Below are 25,532 nucleotides of genomic sequence, written 5' to 3' on the forward strand. Positions count from 1 at the left end.
CAACGTTGTGCAACTGTCACTGTCATTACTTCCAAAACATTTTCATCATCCTAGAAAGGAACCCCACATCCATTAGCATTCTCCATTCCCCCCTCCCCCCCAGCTTCTGGCAACCACGAATCGACTTTCTGTCTCTATGGATTTGTCTATTCTGGGCATTTTGTATAAATGGAATCATACAAGGTGTGGCCTTTTATATCTGGTGTCTTTCACTTAACATAATTAAAGCATTTAGTTTTATAATAAAAAAGGCTAGGCAAATAATTGAGTGGAGGTTGGGAGGTTTAAGAGATTCCATTAAAGAAGAAGGTGAAATAAGGGGGAGAGATGAGATCAGATGAAGTTCAGATTTAGCAAACATTGAGTATTACATAAGCCAGGCACTGTGCTAAGTCTGTTGGGTGATAGAGCAGAAGAGGTTCTAAAAGATATGCTGTTTTTCCATCCTTTGCTTGATGATTTGGACTTTGAGTAGAAAGGACAGTTTTATCCTCTTGATGTACAGAATTACAGAATGAATTCTTTGAAAAGGAGTAGGAAAGCAGATCAGTCAGCTTTTGCTTAGTATGATTTATTCCTCTTTTAAAGTGTAATTTCTGTTTCTACCTAGTTTCAAGTAAGTTTTGAGGCATGTAGGGCTCTGCCACATGATGCCAGCCTTGTCCTGGGGTATAACTTTTTTATGGATCATAAAGGAGCCTGGTTAAAGTTTGGAACTATTATAGACTGGGAGAATAGGCATCTCAATAATATCCCTTTATACCTTACTGCTTATTATTTAAGGTTAGGATAATTGGGTAAACATTCACCATTCACATTTTATTAGCTGGTAACTACGCTTTCTCATTTATTCCAGAGAATAAGGACAGTCCTTCCTTTCGCCCAATTTTACTTGTTTTTCTAAATTTTATTTCTTTAGCTTAGCATTGCTTACAGGGCTTAATTAAGTTTTGTTTCATACTGTTCTGGAGCTATACTAGTGGATTACCCAATGAAATTTTTTTTCCTATGTGGTAAATTGTTCAAACACTTACCAAATAAACAGCTAACTTGGGTAATACTTTATGACAATGTGTAGCTGCATGGCAGTGTGCTTTTACTATCAATACTCAGTTCTGGTTTTATCATATTATTCTTAATAAATAGTAACAACCAAGTTATTTGGTTTAGGGAGAAAATCTGCCATGAGGTATCTTTGTGTCTGTGGCACACAGCCACACTGTTTATGCCATTATGAACCTGCAAAGCTCACTGTGTCTGCAGTGAAAGCTGCAGATGAAATCTGATAGGATCTCTTGGCATTTTCACTTCTACGATTATACATTGAATATAGGGATGAATTAAGCCCTTTGTATTGTTGAGCTGTGATTAAGATTACTGGATAGCTTAAGTATTTTCTCTTTTTGTCCACATACCCAGTAACTTGGGTCAAAATTATTAATCCATTAGAGTGTATGCAGTAACTTTTTTTCTTTTGTAGTGTTGTGACCTTTAATGATGGAGCATTTCATAGATGTGCTAAATGAAGGTTAATAACGGTGAAAATTTATTATATTGATTAGCTACTTATATATTAACACTTAAGGTTTAATTTTATTTAAATTTTATTTTTCTTAGGCTGTCTGTAAAATCTTCTCATTTAAAATTTAGCTTCTGTGGATAACTGTTTACTCATTGCCCCATATGAATATTTAATAGGCACTTCAACAAGTCCAAAACAACTTCTGCTTCCCCTCCCAAATCTGCTTCACCCAGTCTTTTTCATTTCAGTTAATAGCAAATCTGTCTTTCCATTTAGGAGTCATTGATTCCTTTTTCTCTCTCACTCTACGTTCATTCTGTCATCAAATCGTTTTTGTCCTACCTTCAGAATACATCTAGAGTCTAATCACTTCCCACTTTCTCCATTGTTACTATTATGGTCCAAGCCGTCTTCATATCTTGCTTGAGTTATTGCCACACCCTCCCAACAGGTCTCCCTTCTTCCATCCTTCCTTCTATATAGTCTATTCTTAATATGACAGCCAGAATGATCTTTTAAACATGAAAGTGAGATCATATTACTCCTTGTGTTCCCATTACAATGGCCTTTGAGAGTGATCAGGGCCCCCTTTGTCTCTCTGACCTTATTGCTTATTCTCTTGATCACTCTGCTGCCGCTACGCTGGCCTCTTCCCTGTCCCTCAAATGTGCCAGACATGCTTCCATCTTAGGGTCTCTGCACTGGCTATTTCCTCAAATGTCATCTCGGTGAGGCTAACCCTGATCACCCTACCTCAATACACCCAATTATTTTTACTCCGCTTTTTCTTTCCGTAGGAGTTAACACCTCCTAACATTTACTTCTATCAGTTTCTTATGATTAACTGTGTTGTGTATTCCCTCCCATTAGAATGTGAATATCTGAAAGACACTTACAGTTTGAAAAGTGCCTGGAACGTAGTAAATGTTCAATAAATTGCACTTCATTGATATTTATTGGCAACATAACATTATTACCACTCCTCAGAAGCCTGCCACATCTTCCCTATCATTTATACCTCTCCCCAAGCCTGATGTTTTTGTTTCTTGTCTTAATATAGAGACAAGGTCTTACTTTCACCCAGGCTGGAGCTCAGTGGCATGATCATAGCTCACTGCAACCTGTATCTTTTGTGCTCAAGCTATCCTGCTGCCTCAGCCTCTCAAGTAGCTGAGACTACAGGATTGGGCTAACACACCTAGCTAAATTTTTATTTTTATTTTTTTGTAGAGATGGAGTCTTGCTGTGTTGCCCAGGCTGGTCTTGAAACTCATGACCTCCTGCCTTGACCTCCCAAATGATCCTCCTGCTTTGACCTCCCAAAGCACTGGGATTATAGGCATGAATCATCAAGCCTGGCCAAGTCTGATGGTTTTTAAAGTTGTTTTTAGTATGATTGAATATGATTCTCATACAAATAAAGGTCTGCTGTATAGTAGTAATCTGTTGCATAGAACTTTGTTCTTCAGGTGAGGTGTGAGTCACATCCTTTTATCTTGTTTGTTTTTTTTCCCCGCCCCCCGCCCCCCCAGTATAGTCATGAGCAGTCCACAAAGCCAAAATATACATTGAAACAGAAAGACTATTTGTTAAATTTATGGAAATATGTTTTAAATTGTTTCTACAATCTTCTTTGCTTCTAAGAATTCAAATGTCACAGGAATAAAAGCTTTCACCATTTTACCAGAATCTGTAGGATTTAGATGATGGTCATTTTATTCTGTTGACAGTATGGAGCACTTTGCAGATGGATATCAGGTTAATTGTTATATTGAAAAGTGAAGGAGTACATTCTACTAACAGTCTTTCTGCTGAGAAAAATCTAATTATTGCCATTAAGGTGGCATTAAGTTAGTAAATTGGGTAAATAAACAGTTAAAATCCCCAAATTTCTTATAACATGCCATAATTGCTTTGCTTGAAAATAGTTATCGGCCAGGCGCAGTGGCTCACACCTGTAATCCCTGCCATTTGGGAGGCTGAGGCGGGAGGATCACCTGAGGTCAGGAGTTCGAGACCTGCCTGGCCAACATGGTGAAACCCTGTCTCTACTAAAAACACAAAACTTAGGTGGGTGTGTTGGCTTATGCCTGTGATCCCAGCTACTTGGGAGGCTGAGGCAGGAGAATTGCTTGAACCTGGGAGGCGGAGGTTGCAGTGAGCTGAGATCATGCCACTGCACTCCAGCCTGGGCGACAGAGTGAGACGCTGTTTCAAAAAAAAAAAAGAAAAGAAAAGAAAAGAAAATAGTTATCACTGAATAGAAATATAAGATGATCAAATAACTATTGAAGTTAAAGGAAACTACAAAGAAAATCTCCAAAGGACGCCATCCTAGTTTGTTTTTTTGTTAAGCACTATTCACCTGCTGCACTAGAGCCAGCAATATGGACAAACAATACTACTACTAATACCATTATTTGTTAGGCACTTATGAGGTAGCAGGTCTCATGCTTCATCTTTTATGCTCCCAGCAGTTCTGTAATGGCAGAGAATAGCATTTTGTTTTTCTAAATACATTCAATCTCTGAGCCTCAGTGTTCCCCTCAGACCTCTCAGATCCTGGGCCCTTTACCCTACATTTTATGGCCCGCTTCCCTTTCTGCTTCTTTCTGATCATTTTATTTTGTATTTGATGTTCTGAGTTTTCTCTAAAGAACAACATATATTCGTTTTAGATTAATGGCTTTAAGAAAATCATTTATTGTTAAGAATAGTACAGTTTTGTGGCTCAGCAAAAAATAATTCTACTGTTCAGCCATAATCATTTTGGCAAGTTTACAGCCTTTTTCTCAAGCGTTGGTTAGATTAACTGAACTTCTGAATACCTTTGTGGTATTTTAAAAATCTGAAATCACTTGTCTACAAATAGTATTTCTTTTTTTTTTTTTGGCCTTAAAGTTTTAATAATGAAATTTTTCTATGTAGTCCTCTTTAAAATATTTAAGTATAGTAGGAAGCAGCAGAGTTTGTTCCACCTAATGTCAATTCAGAGAACATTTTACATTTTATATTAAAATTATGATGCCTTAGGATCGTTCTTTTACCTGTGTATTTATTCATTTTCACACTCGGGAGTTTTAGTTGCCACTCCATATCAGTGGCACAGCCATGATGATTTTTCCCTTGTCCAATCATGAAGGTTTAAAAAAACCTGTACAGTTTTTAGTCTCTTATTATGATATCAATTAAGGTGATTTTATAGGAAGAATATCAATTAAGGGTGATTTTATAGGAAGAAAAATGTACCCTGCATTTCATTTGGAAAAAAAAAAAGAATCAACTATTAAATGAGGAAATTAAAAAAAAGTTTAGGTTTAAAAAGAAACATACTTAGGAGAAACTTTTAAGCTGCATATGCCTTATGTGAGAATTTTAACCAAGAAAGACTAAATGATCTTTTATAATTATGTTGTCACCATATGTTTGCAGATTCATATTTGCATACATTATTTATATATAAAGATAGATTAGTGTCTAGCTTTATGTGCATTCCATTTTGTAATACACATTCTTTTAGCAGGTTATGTATGTCTTCATGCAGTTGACTTTTCTGTATTTGTGTGCTTTAGCCTCCTTAATGAAGATTTTTACAGTCAAAGTGGAAGAGGGCCAACTTTTTATTGTTAGTACAGCAACATAATTAACTATACAAGGTTTGTTTATTATAGCTGAGTACTAGAACAATGCTTCAAAGAGGAAAACGTACAGAGAAGATTAGTAAATAACATAGCAATGTGTGAGGCTGGCCAATTGTAATAATGCCTTTATTGGGTGGTTCTTGAATTTGTAAGCACATGCTTACATTTTTCAGATAATAGGAATGAAAATGTGTAATTTTAATTGCTATTTCTGTTGCATTTTTATAAGAAAATAATGGAAACTTTGCTTGGATGAATGATTGTATTGGAGAAATGTTTTGTATACTTTGGTTCTGAAATACTTTGAGCTCTTTTATACAAATGAATAGTGTTAGGTAAGACTCCAAGGTACAAATTGTATTACTGCTGAATCAGATCTGAAGAACAGTGATAAATTGCAATGATTTATTTAATTATAGAATAAAAATTTGCAGTCGGGTTAATACCATGCAGCTGATTTAGAGCTTTGTTCATCCCACATTTTCTGGGAAGGTCCTGATTTCAGATACTCCTTATTTTCTTCTTATGTAAATACATTTAGAAATGAGAATATCCTTTGGGCTTATTACGGTCTAGTAAATGTCATTAACCAATATTTTAGGTACTGTGGAGATACAAAAAAGATGAGATAGTGGAAAGATGTTGAGATTGTAACCATTTACATAAAAATGGGAGGGTCATAGGAAAAAACTCCATAGAGCACTTACTGTCTGATAAAAGAGGGTATATAATTGATAAGTTTTACAATGTTTGAAAGAAGATGCAAAGAAAATATTGAGTTCTCATATGTGGTAAACATTATGCTGAATATTGTCATATTCTCATTTATTTAAATTTCACATCACCCTCATTTTATAGTTGGGGTGACTGAATCTCAGAGAGTTTACATTGTTGAAGGTCATACAAAGCCAAAATTCAAATCCTAACTGTAAATCTTATTTTCTTTCTATTAAATCATTATAAATGAATGGAAACCCTTAAAGGATATAATTCTTTCAAATTGACTGAATTGACACAAAATATTGGATATCTTTATTTAAATACTACAACTAAACTTAATAAAATATCACAGGCCGTATTTAGATCTTAAATTTATTCAGGTAGTAAGGGACCTTTGATATCCATAGTAATAGCATGAATAATTGAAGCCATCAAAGTAATAAGCCAATTTTGTTTAGTAATAATATATTAGAGTAGAATTTTACAGTTTTAAAGGGCACCATCATATCTGTTATCTTAGCATCTTAAACCTTTTATGAGGTCTACCAAATAATTGGTTTTGTTTCCTCTTGACCTTTGTAAAATGAAGAAAAACCATGCCTCTTTGAGTTCATAAACTGTGTTTTGCATATTTACACACATACATCTTTTATCCTCCCACCAATTATTTGACCTGAGGTTGAACACTTAATGGATAAGTAGGTGGATAAAATGATAAGTAAAATAACACATTTAAAAAGGAGAAGCAGGAGACTTCAGGTGAATAGCTACCCATAAGTTGTTGAAAATAATCAATATTTATATTTATTGGCATCCAGTCAATAAATATATATGAGCTAGTCTTGTTCTATCACCCAAGCTGGCATGCAGTGGTGTGATCATGGCTCGCCGAAGCCTCCACATCCTGGGCTCAAGTGGGGCTCAAGTGATCCTTCCACCTCAGCCTCCCAAGTAGTTGGGACTACAGGTGTATGCCACCATGCGTGGCTAATTTTTTTTTTTTTTTCGAGATGGAGTCTCGCTCTGTCGCCCAGGCTGGAGTGCAGTGGCGCAATCTCGGCTCACTGCAAGCTCCGCCTCCCAGGTTCACGCCATTGACCTGCCTCAGCCTCCTGAGTAGCTGGGACTACAGGCGCCCGCCACCATGCCTGGCTAATTTTTTTTTTTTTTTTTTTTTGTATTTTTAGTAGACACGGGGTTTCAGTATGTTGGCCAGGATGGTCTTGATCTCCTGACCTCATGATCCGCCCACCTCAGCCTCCCAAAGTTCTGGGATTACAGGCATGAGCCACTGTGCCCGGCCATGCCTGGCTAATTTTTTTAAAATTTTTTGTAGAGATGGGGGCCTTTCCATGTCGACCAAACTGTTGTTAAATTCCTGGGCTCAAACAGTCCTCCTGCCTCAGCCTCCCAGAGTGCTGGGCTTATAGCCACTGCACCTGACCAGTAAAGATATTTTGAGCTTTGAGTAGTACCTGGTTATTATCGGTTAAAAATGAAACATTTTATAAGTCTTTTGTTCTATTGAAAAACCACAGTGGAATATGTGTGTCTTCCCCAAGAATTATGACAAAGCATGTGGATCATTGCCTGGCATATAGTAGGTATTTGGTTATTTATTAAGTAAATTAAAAACCACAATGTAGACTTTCTGGACTTAAAAAGAAAAAAATAGAGACGGAGTCATGCTGTGTGGCCAGGCTGGTCTCCTGAGCTCAAGGGTTCTTCTTGCCTCAGCCTCCCTAGTAGCTTGGGCTACATGTGTGTGTTAATATGCTCAGCTAATTTAAAAACGTTTTTTATTGTAGAGACAGAGTCTTGTTATGTTGCCCACGTTGGTCTTGAAATCCTAGACCCAAGCAGTCCTCCTGCCTCAGCTCCCAAAGTGCCTTTCTGGGCTTTTTATTCTTTTTTGATTTTCTTCAGAAAGCCAGTTCCTAAATAATAAAAAAAGTAAAAGAATTTATTTATTCTCTTTTTATTCCAATTTATTAATTAATACTCAAATATTAATGTAAAACTAGGTTGGTTTCATATTGTTCTGGTACTGTATTGTCTTATTTTTTATTATCTGATATCTGAATCAGAAAATAACCTAGTTACATATTATTTAGTCTCTGAGTGTATTTTTTTTTTTTTTTTGAGACGGAGTCTCGCTCTGTCACCAGGCTGGAGTGCAATGGCATGATCTCGGCTCACCAGAACCTCTGCCTCCCGCGTACAAGCGATTCTCCTGCCTCAGCCTCCTGAGTAGCTGGGATTACAGGTGCCCGCCACCAAGCCTGGCTAATTTTTGTATTTTCAGTAGGACGGGGTTTCTCCATATTGGTCAGGCTGGTCTCAAACTCTCAACCTCAGGTGATCTGTCTGCCTTGGCCTCCCAAAGTGCTGGGATTACAGGTGTGAGGTATTATTTTTTAAGTAGGAGTATTTGGACCTAAACAGGCAGAATTCTTCAACAAAGTACAATGAAAGGCATTTCTTTGACAGTAGCCTGAATTTGGAGGCTCATTTGCAAAGGCACTTTCCACTGCCACTCTACCCCAGAAATTGCTTATGAAATAATTCTGGCATTTACTCCTTCTTCCTCCCCTCCCCCTTTTATTAAAGAGACTAGCTTGTACAAAGTCATTTGCAAATTCATTTGTGGTTCTCCATTTTGATTCAGATAGCAACTCTAAAGACTGAGTTATAAAAGTCTTTAGACTTTGCAGTTTAAAAGAACGATAATATTACCATGTAAAAATTCTGATTAGCATAAAGCTTTAGAAAGTCCGTTGCGTATACCAAGCCAAGTGCATTTTTGTCTCCAATTCCCAATTCTAATCAATTTCGTCCTCATTTTTCACTATTGCAAAAGTGTAGATCATGATGCCCATCTTTTTTGTAGTCGAGTACATTTTTTCTTCCATCAAAAAAGCAATTAGTGTCCTGATGTACTTCAGCTTCACACATTTCTGTAGATGATTTGATCAGGTTGTTGTCTTCACGACAGACATCTGATTGTTTTTGAATGTGGGAACACTCCTTAGACAACATGGCCAGAATTAACCCACATCCTCACTGGTGTTCCACACCTTCTCATATGTAGGAGAGGAATTTCTCTGTCATTTCCCTGAGACTGCACCTTAATTCTCTACTATAATCCTTGACTGAAGGAAAAGTTAGGCGATCAGGTGGAATTTTTAAATTGTTCCACAAAAAACTGAGTTCTGCTAGCTAAGTGGAATGTTGAGAATTTAGAACATTCAGCACAATAAAATATAAACATTAAATTTGTATGGCATTAGAACCGCCTTTAGAATTTTTAGTGGAAGCGTTAGATCACATGCATTTCACTTTAGTTAATTTCTGTAAATTCAACTATGTATAGTCTTCTTTACGAAAAGGAGAGAACATACTTGAGAAATATAATTTAAGAGTGCAAGTGAGAGTCATTCAGCCATTCCTTTTATTCTGATCAGTGAATGTGTGTCCCTGAGTGAGAGATGGAAGAAGTCCTTTTAGTTCTTGATTGCATTTCATAGTGTGAATAGCTCCCTTCCCTGACAGTGATTTTTAGTCTTTCCTAAACTTAGTCAGCTACTTCATCTGTTATTCAGCCGAATGAACAGTGAGTGATCTGTTGCAGTGCTAGAGGAACATTGGCTGTTTTGGCCTTATTGAAGAATACTTGACCGACTGATTTAAGAGCTATTCAAAGGTAATTTTGAGTATGCAATTTTTGCCTTTTGCAACTACCTTAGGACCTTATTCTGGCCGGGTGCAGTGGCTCATGCCTGTAATTCTAGCACTTTGAGAGGCTGACGTGGGAGGATTGCTTGAGCCCAGGAGTTTGAGACCAGCCTGGGCAACATGGCGAAACCTTGTCTCTCCAAAAAATACAAAAATTAGCTGGGCATGGTGGCACACACCTGTAGTCCCAGCTACTTGGGAGGTTGAGGTAGGAGGATTGCTTTGAGCCTGGGAGGCGGAAGTTTCAGTGAGCCGAGATTGCACCACCACACCCCAGCCTGGGCAACAGAGCAAGACCCTGTCTCAAAAAAAAAAAAAAGAACCTAATTCTGGAGTAAGATATGACTTTACCATAATTTGTGAATTAAGGATTAACAAGGTCAGCAGAGCTGAAGCCAAGTGAAAGCATTTGAGAACAAATGACTGAAAAATACTGGATATATGGTAAGATATGTGTAGAAAAAGAACTCTTTAAGCAATTTTCATTAAAAGCTTCTTAGTATGTTTTCCAGATACTAAAAATTTTGGTCACTGGAAACAATTGGGAAGCAAAGAGATTGATTCAGGATAAACGTAGTTAAATTAGCCAAGATTAGGGATTCCAGTGACCTTGAAAATAAATGTGTAGATTAAAATTCAGGTTATTTTAATTTGATGGCTAAAATAAAATGTGTGTATTAACTCAGATTTTTTTTTTTTTAAATTTTGAGATGGAGTCTTGCTCTTTCGCGCAGACTGGAGTGCAGTGGCATGATCTCGGCTCACTGCAAGCTCTGCTTTCTGGGTTCATGCCATTCTCCTGCCTCAGCCTCCCAAGTAGCTGGGACTACAGGCACCCGCCACCACACCTGGCTAATTTTTTTGTATTTTTAGTAGAGATGGGGTTTCACTGTGTTAGCTAGGATAGTCTCGATCTCCTGACCTCATGATCCGCCTGCCTCTGCCTCCCAAAGTGCTGGGACTACAGGCGTGAGCCACCGCATCCGGCCTAACAGAATTTTAAGAATACATATTCTTGAATGATTGCAGAGTAGGTGGTAAGTTATATGCCAGACACTGATCTAAGTGGTTTGCCTGTCTTACCCCTTTAATCTAGGAGGGTAGATAGATGCTGTTCTGGGAGCTTTATGGATGCTAGTTCTCAGTAACTCTGAGTAAGGACTGTTGTTACCACAACCTTGCAGGTGAGAAACTGCAATATAGTCACAATTAGAAACTTGCCAAAGTCACAGCCATTAAGTAGATAAGCCATGATTCAGATCAAACCACCTGGCTCCATTTCCTGTACTATTAACCTATCTTCTACGCTGGTCTTTAATTCTCTTTTACATTATTATTGTCTCATCTGTAAAGGTTCAAATGCCTACTCCAGTTCCTTGAAGTGGCTGCTTTGAGGTTTCTGAGACCAGGTCTATACTCAGTAAAATTTTTCTGAATTTGTATTAGAGGTTGTTTTATGAACATGAGATTGGAAAAATGGTGGCATGAACTCACTTCTAACTTCATATCAAACTAGATCACCAGAAAACTATTTAGTCCTATATTTTAGTATTGTTTCCTCATATTCTGTCAATTTTTGTTAGATGCATTTGTATGAAGAATATTTCTGCATCTGCGATGAAACTATTGAATGCATTGTCTCTTATGATACTCTGTTCCCTTTATAAGAATTAATGTGATAAATTATTCAAGAATTTAGTTTCAGAGAAAAGTTTCTTTCCTTATGATATGGCATACTTCCTTCTATCAGTCATTAAGAATTATATATTCTGTTGAGTTTTTCTGTTTGCTTTGGCTGCAAGAAAGCTTGGAGTTATATGTCACTTCAATTATAGTAACTTTATTAGCCTAGGCTTCTGATATGGGTAATTTCTTCTCAGTCCTCTGTGGCAGGAGTATTTATTTATTGGAGACAGAGTCGCACTCTGTCGCCCAGGCTGGCATGCACTAGCACCATTATAGCTCACTGCAACCTTGAATTCCTGGGCTCAAGTGATCCTCCTGCCTCAGCCTCCCAGGTAGCTGGGACTACAGGTGCATGCCATCATGCTTCTAATTAAAAAAAGATTATTTGTAAAGACAGGGTCTTGCTATGTTGCCCACGCTGGTCTCAAACTCCTGGGCTCAGTCCTCCCACCTCTGTCTCCCAAAGCACTGGGATTACTGTGCCTAGCCTGTGACAGGAGCTTTTAATTCATCGTGTGTGTATCAGCTTCAGGGAGCTGATGAACCCTTCTGAAATGATCAGTAAACTTGCTTGTGTGCAAGCTTGTGTGGGAATCTGGGGGAGCATCGTTAGCTTCTCTCAGATTTTCCATGACCTCCTCCCAACGCCCCCCTCAAAAAGATGAAGAACCGTTATTCTCTGGGTTGACTTTTCATTTTATGTTATAATGGTCTAATTGTGTATCTCTTATTGTAAGCCTCTGGTAGTCTCTTTGGTGATAGTTGGGCTATTAATCATACATTTACATTCGAATCATCATCCAATTTCTCAGTTGTCAGAAAGTTAAAGAGCAGCCTCTCTGTAATTTTAAAAACATGCAGTCTTGGAAACTTAAGAAAGTTGTCGACATGTTCATGCAACCCATGTACCTACTATGTTTGTTTTCTATGAAAGGAGCTTGTCTCTCTTAAATTACCTTAAATAAGTAATAGTAAATTATTTGTAAAGTGATTCATTATTAACTTCTGTTTAGAATTAACATATTCAAACCATAAAGCATGTATGCAAACAGTATTCCCATATCCTTTTTCTTTGTTTTTTAGGTAAGCAGAAAAAGTTATAAAATTATAATAATCTCTCTCGACTATTTATGTATTAGGAGATCCAACTCTTCCAAAAAACATGGCTAGGGTAAGGTTACCAGCAATGATTTGCTATACCCATACATTTATAGGCAAATGCTATACCATTAGAGGAAAATAAAGCCAGTGCTGCTAACCTCATCACTCAGATTAATTTCCACAGCTGTCATTTTAACAGTGTTATTATAGGTCTTCAAATGAAAATTATGTTAACAGGTACTCCACATAAATGTGCTGTAATCCAAGGGGGCACATGTATTATATTTTTGATTGTAGTAAGCTTTTTGGCCTAATTGACTATTTCTCTGCAACAAAAAAATTAGTTAAACTGGAAAAGCATAATAAAGCTATATGCTCTTTACTAGGTGATATCTTGGTGGTTTAAATTTACAAGTTGTGTATACATACATATTTTCCTGTTGAAGACTTGATGACTGACTGAAAATGTACCAGGGTGTCATCACCATAAAAGTTGTTGCATCTATGAACTATACAGCAGTGTGTATGATGGTGTGAGTTATAATAAACTATTCATTAGTTTTTTGCTGCATAGTTTTAGGATGCTGTAACAGTGATCTTGAGGACTATGACTTAAAAAAATGAATAACACTATCATTCAGCTTGCTACTCTGCAGACAATGTGTATGAAAAAGAATTTGTGTGATTTAACCTCAGACATTAAAATTGGTTTGCCAGTAAAACAAAACAAGATTAAAAAAAATTTTTTTTTTTAATTTTTTGAGACGGAGTCTAGCTCTGGCGCCTAGGCTGGAGTGCAGTAGCACGATCTCAGCTCACTGCAACCTCTGCCTCCTCGGTTCAAGCGATTCTCCTGCCTCAGCCTCCTCAGTAGCTGGGATTACAGGCACGTGCCGCCGCATCCAGCTGATTTTTGTATTTTTAGTAGAGACGAGGTTTCACCATGTTGCTCAGTCTGGTCTTGAACTCCTGATCTCTGGTGATCCACCCACCTCGGTCTCCCAAAGTGCTGGTATTACAGGCGTGAGCCACCACACCTGGCCACCAGATTTTCTTAAACCATATTATTTATGTCCCCGCAGTAGAAAGAACACATCAAATCTGCAGCATTGCCTTGTCATTCATTATGGAGTGTATTTTACTTTCATATCTAAATTGATTAATCAGCTTGTAAAGAGACTAGTAAGAATCCAATAATGGCTGCTGTTTTCTAAATTTTATCTTTTAATAAAGAATATGTAAGAAGCATTTATTGAATGCTTAGCATGTGAAAGATACTGAAATAGGTTCTTTGGAGGCATGCAGAGATGACATATTCCTTACCTGTGGTTTAAGGGTTAAATATAAAAGAAAATAAAACTAGGAGAAAACAGATTTGGAGGCTGACTTCTAGAAATGTTAGAAGAAATTATAAAGAAAATAATAATCGATTTGACTAGATAAAATTACACACTAAAATGCTTTTAAAAAGTATGTCTTTGGTGAAGAGGGAGGAAAAGAAAATACTCCACAAAAAGCAAACAACAAACTGGAAAAATGTATTCACAGTGAGACAGGCAGAGAATGACAAACCAGTAAAAATACCCATGATGACTGTGATAGGTAAATGGGCATAGTACACAAACTGTTCACAAAGGAGGAAATATGGTTAGTAAACAGGCATGTGGGATATGTGTTCAGCCTTGTTAGTAATCTAGGAAATGAGACTTAAAACAAGAAATTGTACATAGTGCTGCTGAAACTACTACCATTGCTACTGGACTGTGAAAGGTATAATTCTAAATTGAAAGCACATTGGTACTGTGCTTCAGTAGCAACAAAAATGTTAGTTCATAATCTTTAATTCAGTAATTTCATATAAGGGGCTCTAGCTTATGGAAAATGATAAAAAATATGGACTGTTACCTGTAACAATGAAAATGTGGAAGTGAACAATATTATGTGAAGAGAAATAGCTGAGTAAATTAGGATTAGTCCATTCATTGGATGGTTATATATCCAATAAAAATAAATAGGCAAGGTATATAGTAGTATGAAAAGATGCATATGAAAGGACTAGATTATATGTAAATTGTGATTATGAGTTTATAAAGTATAAATATGAAAAATCCCTAGAAAAAGATAATTTATAATCCTTGTGCTACAGTAATGAGTTGCAGGTGATCTTTCTTCTGACCTCTCTCAAATAGGGTATATTAATTTTAAAATTTAAATTTAGATTTGTGATTTTAAGAAAATTTAGTTCTAGCTCTCAAGGAACTGCCAGTCTAATAGGATAGAACTACACTAAAAAGAAATGTGCTATTGACATGAAAGAGACATAACCACATGTTCTGAGAGTACCCTCAAATATAGTTTTGTATTTTATGGAGTGCTTATAAAGTCTCCAGGCATATATCTGGTGGTGGGAATGAATTAAGATGAATAACTGGGTCCTTGCTCCAAGAGACCTCTGCTTTAGTTGAAGAGACTCATTTTTGCATCTAATTAGACCCTGATACCAATCACACTTTATTAAATATGCCAACTGATGCTTACATCAAGAATGACTTGAAAGCATGGGGAAGAGGTAATTTTGACCAAGGGATGCTGGGTTAATCCTGGGTTTAGGGAACATCTGGTTGCCCAGTTTCTGGAAGTGTGCGTAGGTATTTGTGGGGCAGTAATAGGAGAGTCCAGTAGCCGGTGTTTAAGAAGCTGGTCCAGGCTAGTTTGTGCAAGTTCCTAGAAATACAGAGATGAAAAAGCCTGTGTTCTCAAGGGACATGTTGACCAGTGTGGGAGCTAATAATTAACTAAAAATCCAGTACATTGGCTTAAATTTGTATGTTAAGGTATATCTGGCTTCATTGAAATTCCTATTCACAAAATTCTCATTCAAGATATTGTGTTGTTCTAATGGAAATTATAGGATACTGTGGGATTATATGGAAAGGGTTTGGGGGTGTTTGATCCTGGCTGGGGAGGAGTAGCCAAGAAGGACTTGCTATAGGAGGCCACAGTGAGCTGGGTTTTCAAAGATAAGTAGAAATTAGAAGAGAGAATGGATGTGAGGGGAAGAGGAAGCTGGAAAGGCAGGGTGTGGCCAGATAATTCTTAAGGTCCTTGTATAATCTTAAAGGGATTTAGGAACTCAGCTTCTTTAAGGCTTTTTTTTTCCCCCCTTATGTCTCATGATATGTTAGTAAGCATATGGCCATGTTTAGAAGAAAGTAATGAAAAGGATAAGCCAGTGCTGCATAAGTGGTTTCTGAAGGCATATAACCTGGCCATCTTAAGAACAGTTCGTTGAGAAATTGCTGAGATCAGTTTAAGGAGTAACTTCCTTTTTTTTTTTTTTTTTTTTTTTTTGAGACAGGGCCTCACTATGTTGCCCAGGCTGGAGTGCAGTGGCGTGATCACAGCTCACTATAATCTCCTCCCATGCTCAAGCGACCCTCCCACATCAGCCTCCTAGGTAGATGGGACTACAGGCACACACCACTGTGCCCCGCTAATTTTTGTAGTTTTTTTTTTTTTTGGTAACGATAGGGTTTTGCCATATTGCGCAGGCTGGTCTCGAACTCCTCAGCTCAAGCGATCCGTGTTCCTCAGCCTCCCAAAGTGCTGGGATTACAGGCGTGAGCTACCATGCCAGGACAAGGAGTAATATTTATTTGACTGTTTTATTAACATCAGGCACTTAAAATAACGCAGTGTAGAAGAGAAGTAAAAGATACAGGCTTACTATTTATTAATGATTTGCTGTGTCAACAGAGAGCAAACATTTAGGGATTTAGTGAGGCAGCTCAAAGGGGATTGAGAAATAAAGTTGTAGAGTCAAAGTAGAGAGAAAAAGGGCATTTCCAGATAATTGACACTGATCTAGGTGGGAAGTGATCAGTCTAAGCTCTCTCTTTTTTCTATTTTACAGAAGTATGAGCTTCTGAACATTTTGCCTTTTATCACATATGGTACCTCTGTCTTGATTTTCAGCAGATTTAGCAAAAATCTAAACTATTTTACTATTGGATACATATCACAGTATCTGGGAATAATCATACTCTCCAGCAAAGCAGCTTCTGGCCATGTGCAGTGGTGCATACCTGTAGTTCTAGCTACCCTGGAGGCTGAGGCAGGAGGATTGCTTGAACCCAGGAGTTTGAGGCTGTGGTAAGCAATGATTTTGCCTGTGAATAGCCACTGCAGTTCAGCCTGGGCAACACGGCAAGACTCTGCCTCTAAAAATAAATAAAAGACAGCTTCTGAGAGTATTTATTAGTAAACTTGCTTTCCCAAAACAGCTTTTGAGTTTAGTTCTGGAGACAGCACTGTGCTGCCTATCATAGACCACTATAAAGAGATCATTCTGTTTTCCTGCTCTTTAGAATAAAGCTAGCATATGAGTTGCAACCACCTAATTTTTCTTTCGTTCTTAATTTCTGGTTACAGAGTTCTTTTTGGGATACACATGCTTTTTAGTGCATTATGGGAAAGACTTCACTGAAGTTAATAGGATTGTATTTATAGTCTCATCATGATATTTCTAATTAAAATGATGATTGTTTATTTTAGCCATTTGTACATCTAAGTAAAATATTGTTACTGCCTTGTCATATTTGAATACTTGGGAATTTATAGAACTGTTTTTATTAGCCTTTTAAAGGATACTCCGTAACAAAGTATACGTGTGTGTATTTTCATTATATAAACTAAAACTTTTGCATTGTAATTTTTGACAAAAAAAACTGTAGCTTCAAACTATATTCTTTGAGCAGTATGATTTTTAATTAAGAACATTAAAGTTCTTAGTTATAAATTTTAAAAAGCAATGAAAGTGATTTGTTGAGGTTATGGTTAATTTCTTTGAAAGCAATTAATAAAATCCCTTTGAAATTAGGATTTATATATTTTCATAATTCTTAAGACTAAGGTCAGTAGCATGCTGTATTTTCTCTTCTGAATTCTTTCTACATTTTAACACAGTGCGTTACATATTTGATTTTTAATCTTTCACGTGGGAGCTTTATCTACTTATCTCTAAGGCCTGCATGCGTCCTTGCTCTCACACACGCACATATAAAATCACTTTGTCCTTATTACTGTCCATTCCATTTTCTTCTCCCTGAGGTTGCCAGAAAGGCCTCTGGTCTAGCTTGAGTAATATGCAGTCTGTTTCAGTTCTTCCTAACCTGCCTGCATGTTTTGATGGAACACCAGGCACTTATGTAAGAATAGAAGCCTATTTATTTAGGTCGTGTGAACCACGAAGGAACTGGCACCAACATATTCATTTCTCCCCTTTGCTACTTCAGGTCTTGAGAAGAGTGTGCTTTTATGGACCATGTATTCTTTTCTCTGGATGGATGTAGCTTGTGGGAGAAGCTATTGTAATAAGTTCTTCTGAACCACAGCTCTTCTGTGTGGGTCTTCATCTTTCAGGAGACTCCAAACCTGAACTGTAATGGTTTCATGTTATCATCTAAATGGAATGGATGTAATGACACCCAGAGCACATGGCTCAGGCTAAGATCTTTCTTGGTAATCTTTCTCTATCCAGCTCTTCATCAGAGCAGGACTAGCTCTTCACTGGTTCCTTGACTCCAGGACTGTGAAACCAGGAAATGAACTTTCCTTCTTATATTTCTGCTTCTGCCTAAGGGCCAATTTCATAAGTGGAGGTCTGCAACAAAATAGATGTACTTAAGCAAGATGAAGCTCCATTGCTTTATCTTGCTTAAGACGGGTTTAATAGGAATTTCTTCTGGCTGTTTCCCGTGCCCCCCCCCCCCCCCCACTTTTTTTTTTTTTTTTTTTTTTTTAAGATATTAGAGTCTCATGAGGCCCAGACTGGACTCTAATTCCTAGGCACAAGTGATCCTCCCACCTCAGCCTCCGTAGTAGCTGGGACTATAGGCACAGGCCACCATGGCTGGTTTTACTTTTTTTTTGGTTCATGGTACATTTGAAACCAAAACATACCCAATATCTAGTCATATTAAAATTACTTTTATCTCTCTCTCTCTTAATTTGGAGAAAATAGTATTTTGTGGGAAAATTTATAGTATATAGGCTGGCATTTGCTTTACTCTCACAATCCTATAGGATTATAAAATTAGAATTTTATGAAATATCCTATACTTGGTGTAATTCCTTATTTTCTGTATTTTTGCTTTTCTTTCATTTAGATCTCTTTCGTCTATTCCTCTACTATCATTAAAAAATTATCTTCCTAGGAGAGGTGATTATTGGAAATGGATTAAAAAAAGGTTAATGAGAAGAGATGACAATACATATGTAACTATGTGATTGGCTCTGTAAAGTATGAATAATTATACTAATAATGGTGGTTAAGCCTAGCATAGGAATGGGATTGGAATGCTAGCAGGATGGAATGGCAACTAAATATGCAAGATGAGACCATGTTATTGAGCACACCGAAGGTAAGATCAAGAATTTACATTGGATTAGAGAGGCAAAACAGTCGATTCCTCACAAGGGGAGCAAAGATGGTGACTAGCAGATATTTTCGGTAGGACAAAAAGGGAGAGCGATGTCACCAGAAGTTGAGAGTAGAAAAAGAGAAAGGATGAGTCATGGTATTGGAAATAGTTTTGATGGAAGTCATGTTAATAGTGATAGTAAAGAGAAGAAAAACAATTTAAACATGTTCGTATCAACGGACTTTAGTATGGCCTGTTGAAAAAAGTCACCTAACCTACTGCTTTTGAATGCATTGATTTTAAGTAGTTTGCCTTTGTATATCAGTTTTGTTAATAACAACGACAGTAAAATGAGCTGTCTACCCAAAATTTAGATTATTATGTTGATTATAACAAACATCTTTATTTTGGTAATGAGCTTATAAAAATGAATCTAGGTCGGGTGTGGTGGCTCACGCCTATAATCCCACCACGTTGGGAGGCCGAGGCGGGCAGATCACGAGCTCAGGAGATGGAGACCATCCTGGCTAACATGGTAAAACCTTGTCTCTACTAAAAATACAAAAAATTAGCCGGGCGTGGTGGCGGGCGCCTGTAGTCCCAGCTACTCGGGAGGCTGAGGCAGGAGAATGGCGTGAACCCGGGAGGCGGAGCTTGCATTGAGCTGAGATTGTTCCACTGCACTCCAGCCTGGGTGACAGAGAGAGACTCTGTCTCAAAAAAAGAAAAAAAAAAAAAAAAAAAAAAAAGATTCTAACCCCAGGAAAGGAGAAGGTATTTGTCATAATTGTCATAATGTTTTGACTTATACAAAATAAGACTTTTTCTGAAACACAGAAATCCTTGACAGTTTATTTCTTTAAGATAACCAATTTTATACAGGTGAATTCTTTTAAAATTGAACATTGTAGTGGAAAAGACGTCACAAGTCACTTTAGGGTATGGAAAAGTGTGGAACAGGGGCATAAATATTACCAACCAGCACTTCTGCGGGCAGTCTTCCCACATCCAGTGAGGCCCCCTAAATCACTGTCTACTTCCTTGTATATGTGTGTGTGCGTTTGTGCACATGCATGCATACATGTGTTCATGGCCATGAACTAGGAGTTATCCCAAGTGTAGCTGTGCTCGCTAAGTCTTATATTTAAGTTATCTTTTGGGCATGGTTTGGCAAGAGGTTAGGTTTTTTTCCCTTTTCTGTAAATATTTAGTGAAAGCACTCCATTGTTTGCTACTGAATTTTTTTCTTATTTTTAAAAAAGTATTGTTTGAAAACCTTACATGATGGCTTGCATCTGTAATTCCAGCTACTTAGGAGATTGAGGCAGGAAGATCACTATGGCACACATATACCTGTGTAACAAACCTACATGTTCTGCACATGTATCCTGGAACTTTAAAAAAAAAAAAGTCTTGACTCAAATATTGTAATTTTTCTTGGAGTAAAATTTAGGGGCCAAAGGCTGTATTACATGTGTGAATATAACATACAGAAAAATTACCTTACATCATATATACCCTGTGGAAATTATTTGGATGATTCAGCGTATTGGAAGAGGTTGATGGGGCCCTAACCATGAAAAACTTCAGTGTAAGATTTTAAGGTAAGAGGACCCTCGAGAGTTTTCCCAATTCTGAAACAAAAGTGAAATTCACCAGCTTTGCCTATTAACTTTTCTCTGCTTTATAGTGTCAATAAGAGGTGTGGATGGAAACACATGGAATTAGATCAGTAGACTGCAAAATCCTGCTTAAGTTCATTAAATATAGTACTAGTCTGGAATTCTCTTTTCTCACAAAAGTAAATTTTTTAAATTGAAATGTTGTTATCCCTTTTATGTGATTTAAAATAGAGTTTAATCTGACATCCCTGGTTTATCTTTTTGATTCATCACAATGGTGTCCTAGATGTGTATACAACATTGTTGGGTTAAAAATTACTGATTTGTGTGTCTTTGAAAGCATCTGAAAAGGAAATTTCTAATAGTTCTTTTTTGTTTGATGACACATTATAAATAAGCCTAATGGATATATTATGCAATTTAAAAACAGTATTGTCTAATCCATTTATTATATGTTTATAATGCTATATATTTTTTAATTTAAAAACATTTGTAAATTATTAGCCTGTGCCAAATTGTACTTGAATTATTTTCAGTCTGCCAAGAATGTTTCATTCTGTACTTTTAATTAAAAGACTGTATATGAAAACCCAGAAAATATGAAATGTAGGATATGGAAATGATACAGTTCTTTAAACCAATTATGTGTAAAAATTCACTTTTTTGAAACAGCAAGACAGTATCTCATGTGATATTGTCCCTATAATCTAATTTCTATAATTTAATGGAACTTATGGCCTGTACATGGTTTACTCCTGTAATCCCAGCACTTTGGGAGGTCGAGGTGGGAGGATTGCTTGAGTTCAGGAGTTCAAGACCAGCCTGGGCAACATAGTAAAACCCCATCTCTACAAAAAGAAGGAAGTTAGCGAGCATGGTGGTGCATGCTTGTAGTCCCAGCTACTTCAGAGACTGAGCCTGGGAGGTCGAGGCTGTGGTAAGCTGTGTTTGCACCTTGGCAGTCCACCTGGGCAACAGAGTGAAACCCTGTCTCAGGTGGGGGTTGGAGGGAGACAGTAATGGGGCTGGGCGTGATGGTGGCTCATGCCTGTAATCTGAGCAATTTGAGAGGCTGAGGTGGGCGGATCACTTGCCAAGGAGTTTGAGATCAGCATGGGCAACGTGGCAAAACGCTGTCTCTAAAAAAATACAAAAATTACCTGGGCGTGGTGGCATGTGCCTGTAGTCTCAGCTACCTGGGAAGCTGATGTGGGAGGATCTCTTGAGCCCAGGAGGCCAAGGTTGCAATGAGTAGAGATTGTGCCACTGCACTCCAGCCTGGGTGACAGAGCAAGAACCTGTCTCAAAAAAATTAAAAAGGAAAAAAAGAAAAGTAATGGAACTCAGTATTTGGTAAGCAGTGTAACTGTGGTAGAATTTTTTTTTTTTTTTAAAGCTTAGGAATTACATCTGAAAGTCTTTTAAAAAGTATAATATTCTACTTAGAAATTCAGGGTCATTTGGAATGCATTGGTACCAGAAAAAGTTTTTGTTTTCCTTTTCTCATTTCTCCCTCCAGCTTTTTTGAGGTATAATTGACAATAAAATTGTGTATATTTAAGGTATATGACATGGTGATTTGATACATGTTTATATTGTGAAACTTACCGTAACCAAGTTAGCTAACACGTGTATCACCTTACGTAGTTACCAATTTTTTTTATGTTTGTGTGTGTGAGAGAGAACATTAGGATGTACTCTCTTAGCAAATTGCAGGTATACAGTATAGTATTACTAGCTATAGTTAATTATGCTGTACATTAGATTTCCAGAAATTTTTCATCTTATACTTGAAGGTTGGTACCCTTTAACTGACATCCCCCCATTTCCCCCTACCTTTAGCTCTGGTAACCACCATTCTACTCTCTGCTTTTATGAGTTCAACTGTTTTAGATTTCATTCGTAAGTGAAATCATACAGCATTTGTTTTTCTCTTTCTCACTTCACTTAGCATAATGCGCTTCAGAATCATCCAATGTGTAGCAAATGGCAGGATTTCCTTCCTTTTTTAAATGGGTGAATAATATTCCATTTTATTGATATATACACACACTGAATTTTCTTTATTCATTTATAGGTGTATGGGCACTTAGGTCATTTCTATATCTTGGCTGTTGTGAATAATGCTGCAGTTAACATGGAGTGCAGTTATCTCTTTGATATTCTGATTTCCATTCCTTTGGATATAGACCCAGAAGTAGCATTGCTAAAACAATGTTCTAGTTTTAATTTTTTGAGGAGCCTCCATATTGGTTTCCTTAGTGGCTCTACCAGTTTACATTCCCCACAAGAATTGCACAGGGCACCCTTTTCTCCACATCCTCACCAATACTTTTCTCTTGTCCTTTTCATAATGGCCATCCAGTATCTCTTTATGGTTTGGATTTGCAGTTCCCTGATGATAGTAATGTTGAACATTTTTTTCATGTACGTGTTGGCCATTTGTATTTCTTTTTTGGAAAAATGTGTATTCAGGGCTCTTACCAATTTTTTAAATTTTAGAAACAGAGTCGTGGTCTTTTTTTCAGGCTGGACTGAAGTGGCGCGATCATAGCCCATTGCAGCCAACTCCTGGGCTTAAGGAATCATCTTGCCTCAGCCTCCCAAGTAGTTAGGACTACAGGTGCATGCCACCACACCCAGCTAATTAAAAAATGTTTTTTTGTGGAGATGCGGTCTCATTATGTTGCCTAGGCTGGTCTCAAACTTCTGGCTTCATGCAGTCCTCCGCCTTGGTGTCCTAGAGCACTGGGATTGCAGGCATGAGCCACCATGTTCAGTGTAGGCCATTTTAAAATCAAATTATGTGGGGTTTTTTTTTTTGCTATTGAGTTATATAAGCTGCTTATATATTTTGGGTATTAAGCCCTTATTAGATGTATGGTTTGTAAATGTTTTCTTCCATTCCATAGATTGTCTTTTCATTTTGTTGATTGGTTCCTTTGTTATGCAGGTTTTTAGTTTTATGTAGTTTTATTTGTTTATTTTTGCTTTTGTTGCACATGCTTTTGGTGTCACATCCAAAAAATCCTTGCCGAGAAAAATGTCAAGGAGATTTTTCCATATGTTTTCTTCTAGGAGTTTTATGGTTTCAGGGTACAATGTTTAAGCCTTACTGTGGTCTTGAATTTTTGTCTTTAGCTTCAGAAGGCAAAAAGCTCTTCTGGAATTTTGCCAGCTTGTTTTTCTGAGTGTACAGAGGGAAATTACTTCCTACTGATGAGGAAAAGCAGGCAGAAGTTGCTGTTACAGAACAAGAGATGGAGAGAAGGAACTTTTAGGTGAGAGGTGGAAAAGGTGTGTTCTTAGCTGAGATGGAGAGCATGAGGTGATACAGCAATACATATTAACTCTGTACTTAACACACTGACTACTTGAGCCATTCTGACTGCTCAACGGAATTTTGACACATACTTGAGTTAGGTAAGCAAAGAACCATAGGTTTCTTTTATTTATTTAAATCTTTTATACAGATATTTGTAAAATCTGATGTTTATATGTGAGAGCCATTTGTGAAGATACTGTATTTAACTATTTACACAAAGATCTTTTGTGTTTTTGAGTTGAACTTTAAAAGTAATTAAATGAGTTAACTTGAATAGAATTTCTGAAGAGCTTCTGCCTATAATATTGATTTTGGCTTTGACATAATTGATACTTACCTATTCTGACAGTGATAGGCTAACAGATTCAGTCCCTTATTGCTTGAGTCACTTTTTGGAACATGATAATAGCATCATGTCACCTTAGTGGAAGATGCTCATCTTTTATTTATTTATTTTTCTATAGTGGATGAGGGCCTTTCGTTTAAGAGCTACAATGATTTGATGTTTAAAAAAGAGGGTGGTTTGAACATAGCCCTGCTTAATTTTAAGGAGTGCATTTGCTTATCAAAAGATCATTTCAGTCATTTTGATTTTTATAGTATTTTGGCAAAGGCTTAAAAGGATCATTGAAAGTCCTGACTTCATACTATTTTTATAGAGCTTGGTTCATAGATGGTGTATATCTTAAAAAATCTTAGAATTCTTAGCATGTTTATTATTTTAAAATTTTGGCGAAACTGCATAGGTCAGTTGTATCTTAGAATAGATAAAAGCCTCCCTATTTTTCTTAACAAGTTCTAGATTAGACAACTCAGACTAAGTTTTTTTGTACTTCGTTTCATTCTACAGGGTATCCGTGGTGACTAATAATAATAACAGTTAACATTACTGAGTGCTTACTATGAGTCGGGTACATGATCTTACATAATTCTTACATTAATCGTATGATGTAGGTACTACCATTACCTATGTTTTGCTGTCGAGAAAATGTTGGAAGAGTTAAGTATCTTACCAAAATTTAACATTCTGGGAGACAGAGGTAGACTGCAAACCCTAGGAAGTCTTACCTTTGCTCCCTAATCTCTACAGAGGGAAATGCAAATTAGAATAAGTGTCCCAAGTGGAAGAGAAAGAACATTTTACTGTTCGTATCTTTAGGTTACACAGCTATTATAGCTGGACCGTGAGTTTGACTCTGAATTTTCTATAGCAAAAAAATAAAAAATAAAAAACAAAAAAAGGAAAAGGAAAAAAAAAAAAGGTGGGGAGGACAAAAGAGTTAGAATAGCACACATAAAACCTATTTCTTAGGAATTCTCAAAATCCCTGTGCGAGCCACAAAAGGAGTCTCTGGGAGATTTGGGATGATTTCTTCAACATCATTCCTATATCATGTGACTTTGAGTTTTTAATGGGACTGCCTCTTTTGATCCCACAAAGAAATTTTAGAATATAATGCCAAAGCATCATTTGGTAAGAATTCTGTGAGAGATCATGATGATGTGGCCCAAGTATGCATGGTTTGGTATGATTCATACATAAAATCCAGATAACTTAGGAGAATGAAATGGATGGCCTGTACATTTGCCAGTCAATCCTTGGTTTTGTATATACTTCAGAAATCAAATGAGCAGATAATATATTTAAGATCTTTGCTTTGAAATTGAAAACAAGAAACATTGTAGTAATTGTATTCATATTATTAAGCTTGCAAGTGAATGGGTAATTATTTCCAGGTTAAGTGATTGTCTTACAAG

General features: G+C 37.0%; 1 protein-coding gene across 7 annotated transcripts in view, besides 2 other annotated features; it reads left to right on the forward strand.

Annotated features, from left to right (window-relative positions):
* The window catches only part of UBE2E2 (ubiquitin conjugating enzyme E2 E2), a 388,828-nt gene that overhangs the window by 36,251 nt on the left and 327,045 nt on the right, over positions 1 to 25,532 (forward strand). The gene's annotated exons all lie outside the window — the stretch shown is intronic.
* Positions 17,500 to 17,549: an enhancer, noted in NCBI's record as "active region_19592". NCBI's record gives its function as "activates an Ori minimal core promoter by ATAC-STARR-seq in GM12878 lymphoblastoid cells {active_cell/tissue: GM12878}" and the evidence as "EXISTENCE:reporter gene assay evidence [ECO:0000049][PMID:35858748]".
* Positions 17,697 to 17,897: a silencer, noted in NCBI's record as "peak4575 fragment used in MPRA reporter construct". NCBI's record gives its function as "represses an SCP1 promoter by STARR-seq MPRAs in K562 erythroleukemia cells {active_cell/tissue: K562}" and the evidence as "EXISTENCE:reporter gene assay evidence [ECO:0000049][PMID:32103011]".

This window comes from Homo sapiens, chromosome 3 (genome assembly GCF_000001405.40).
Source record: "Homo sapiens chromosome 3, GRCh38.p14 Primary Assembly".
In the NCBI taxonomy this organism is placed as follows: domain Eukaryota; kingdom Metazoa; phylum Chordata; class Mammalia; order Primates; family Hominidae; genus Homo; species Homo sapiens.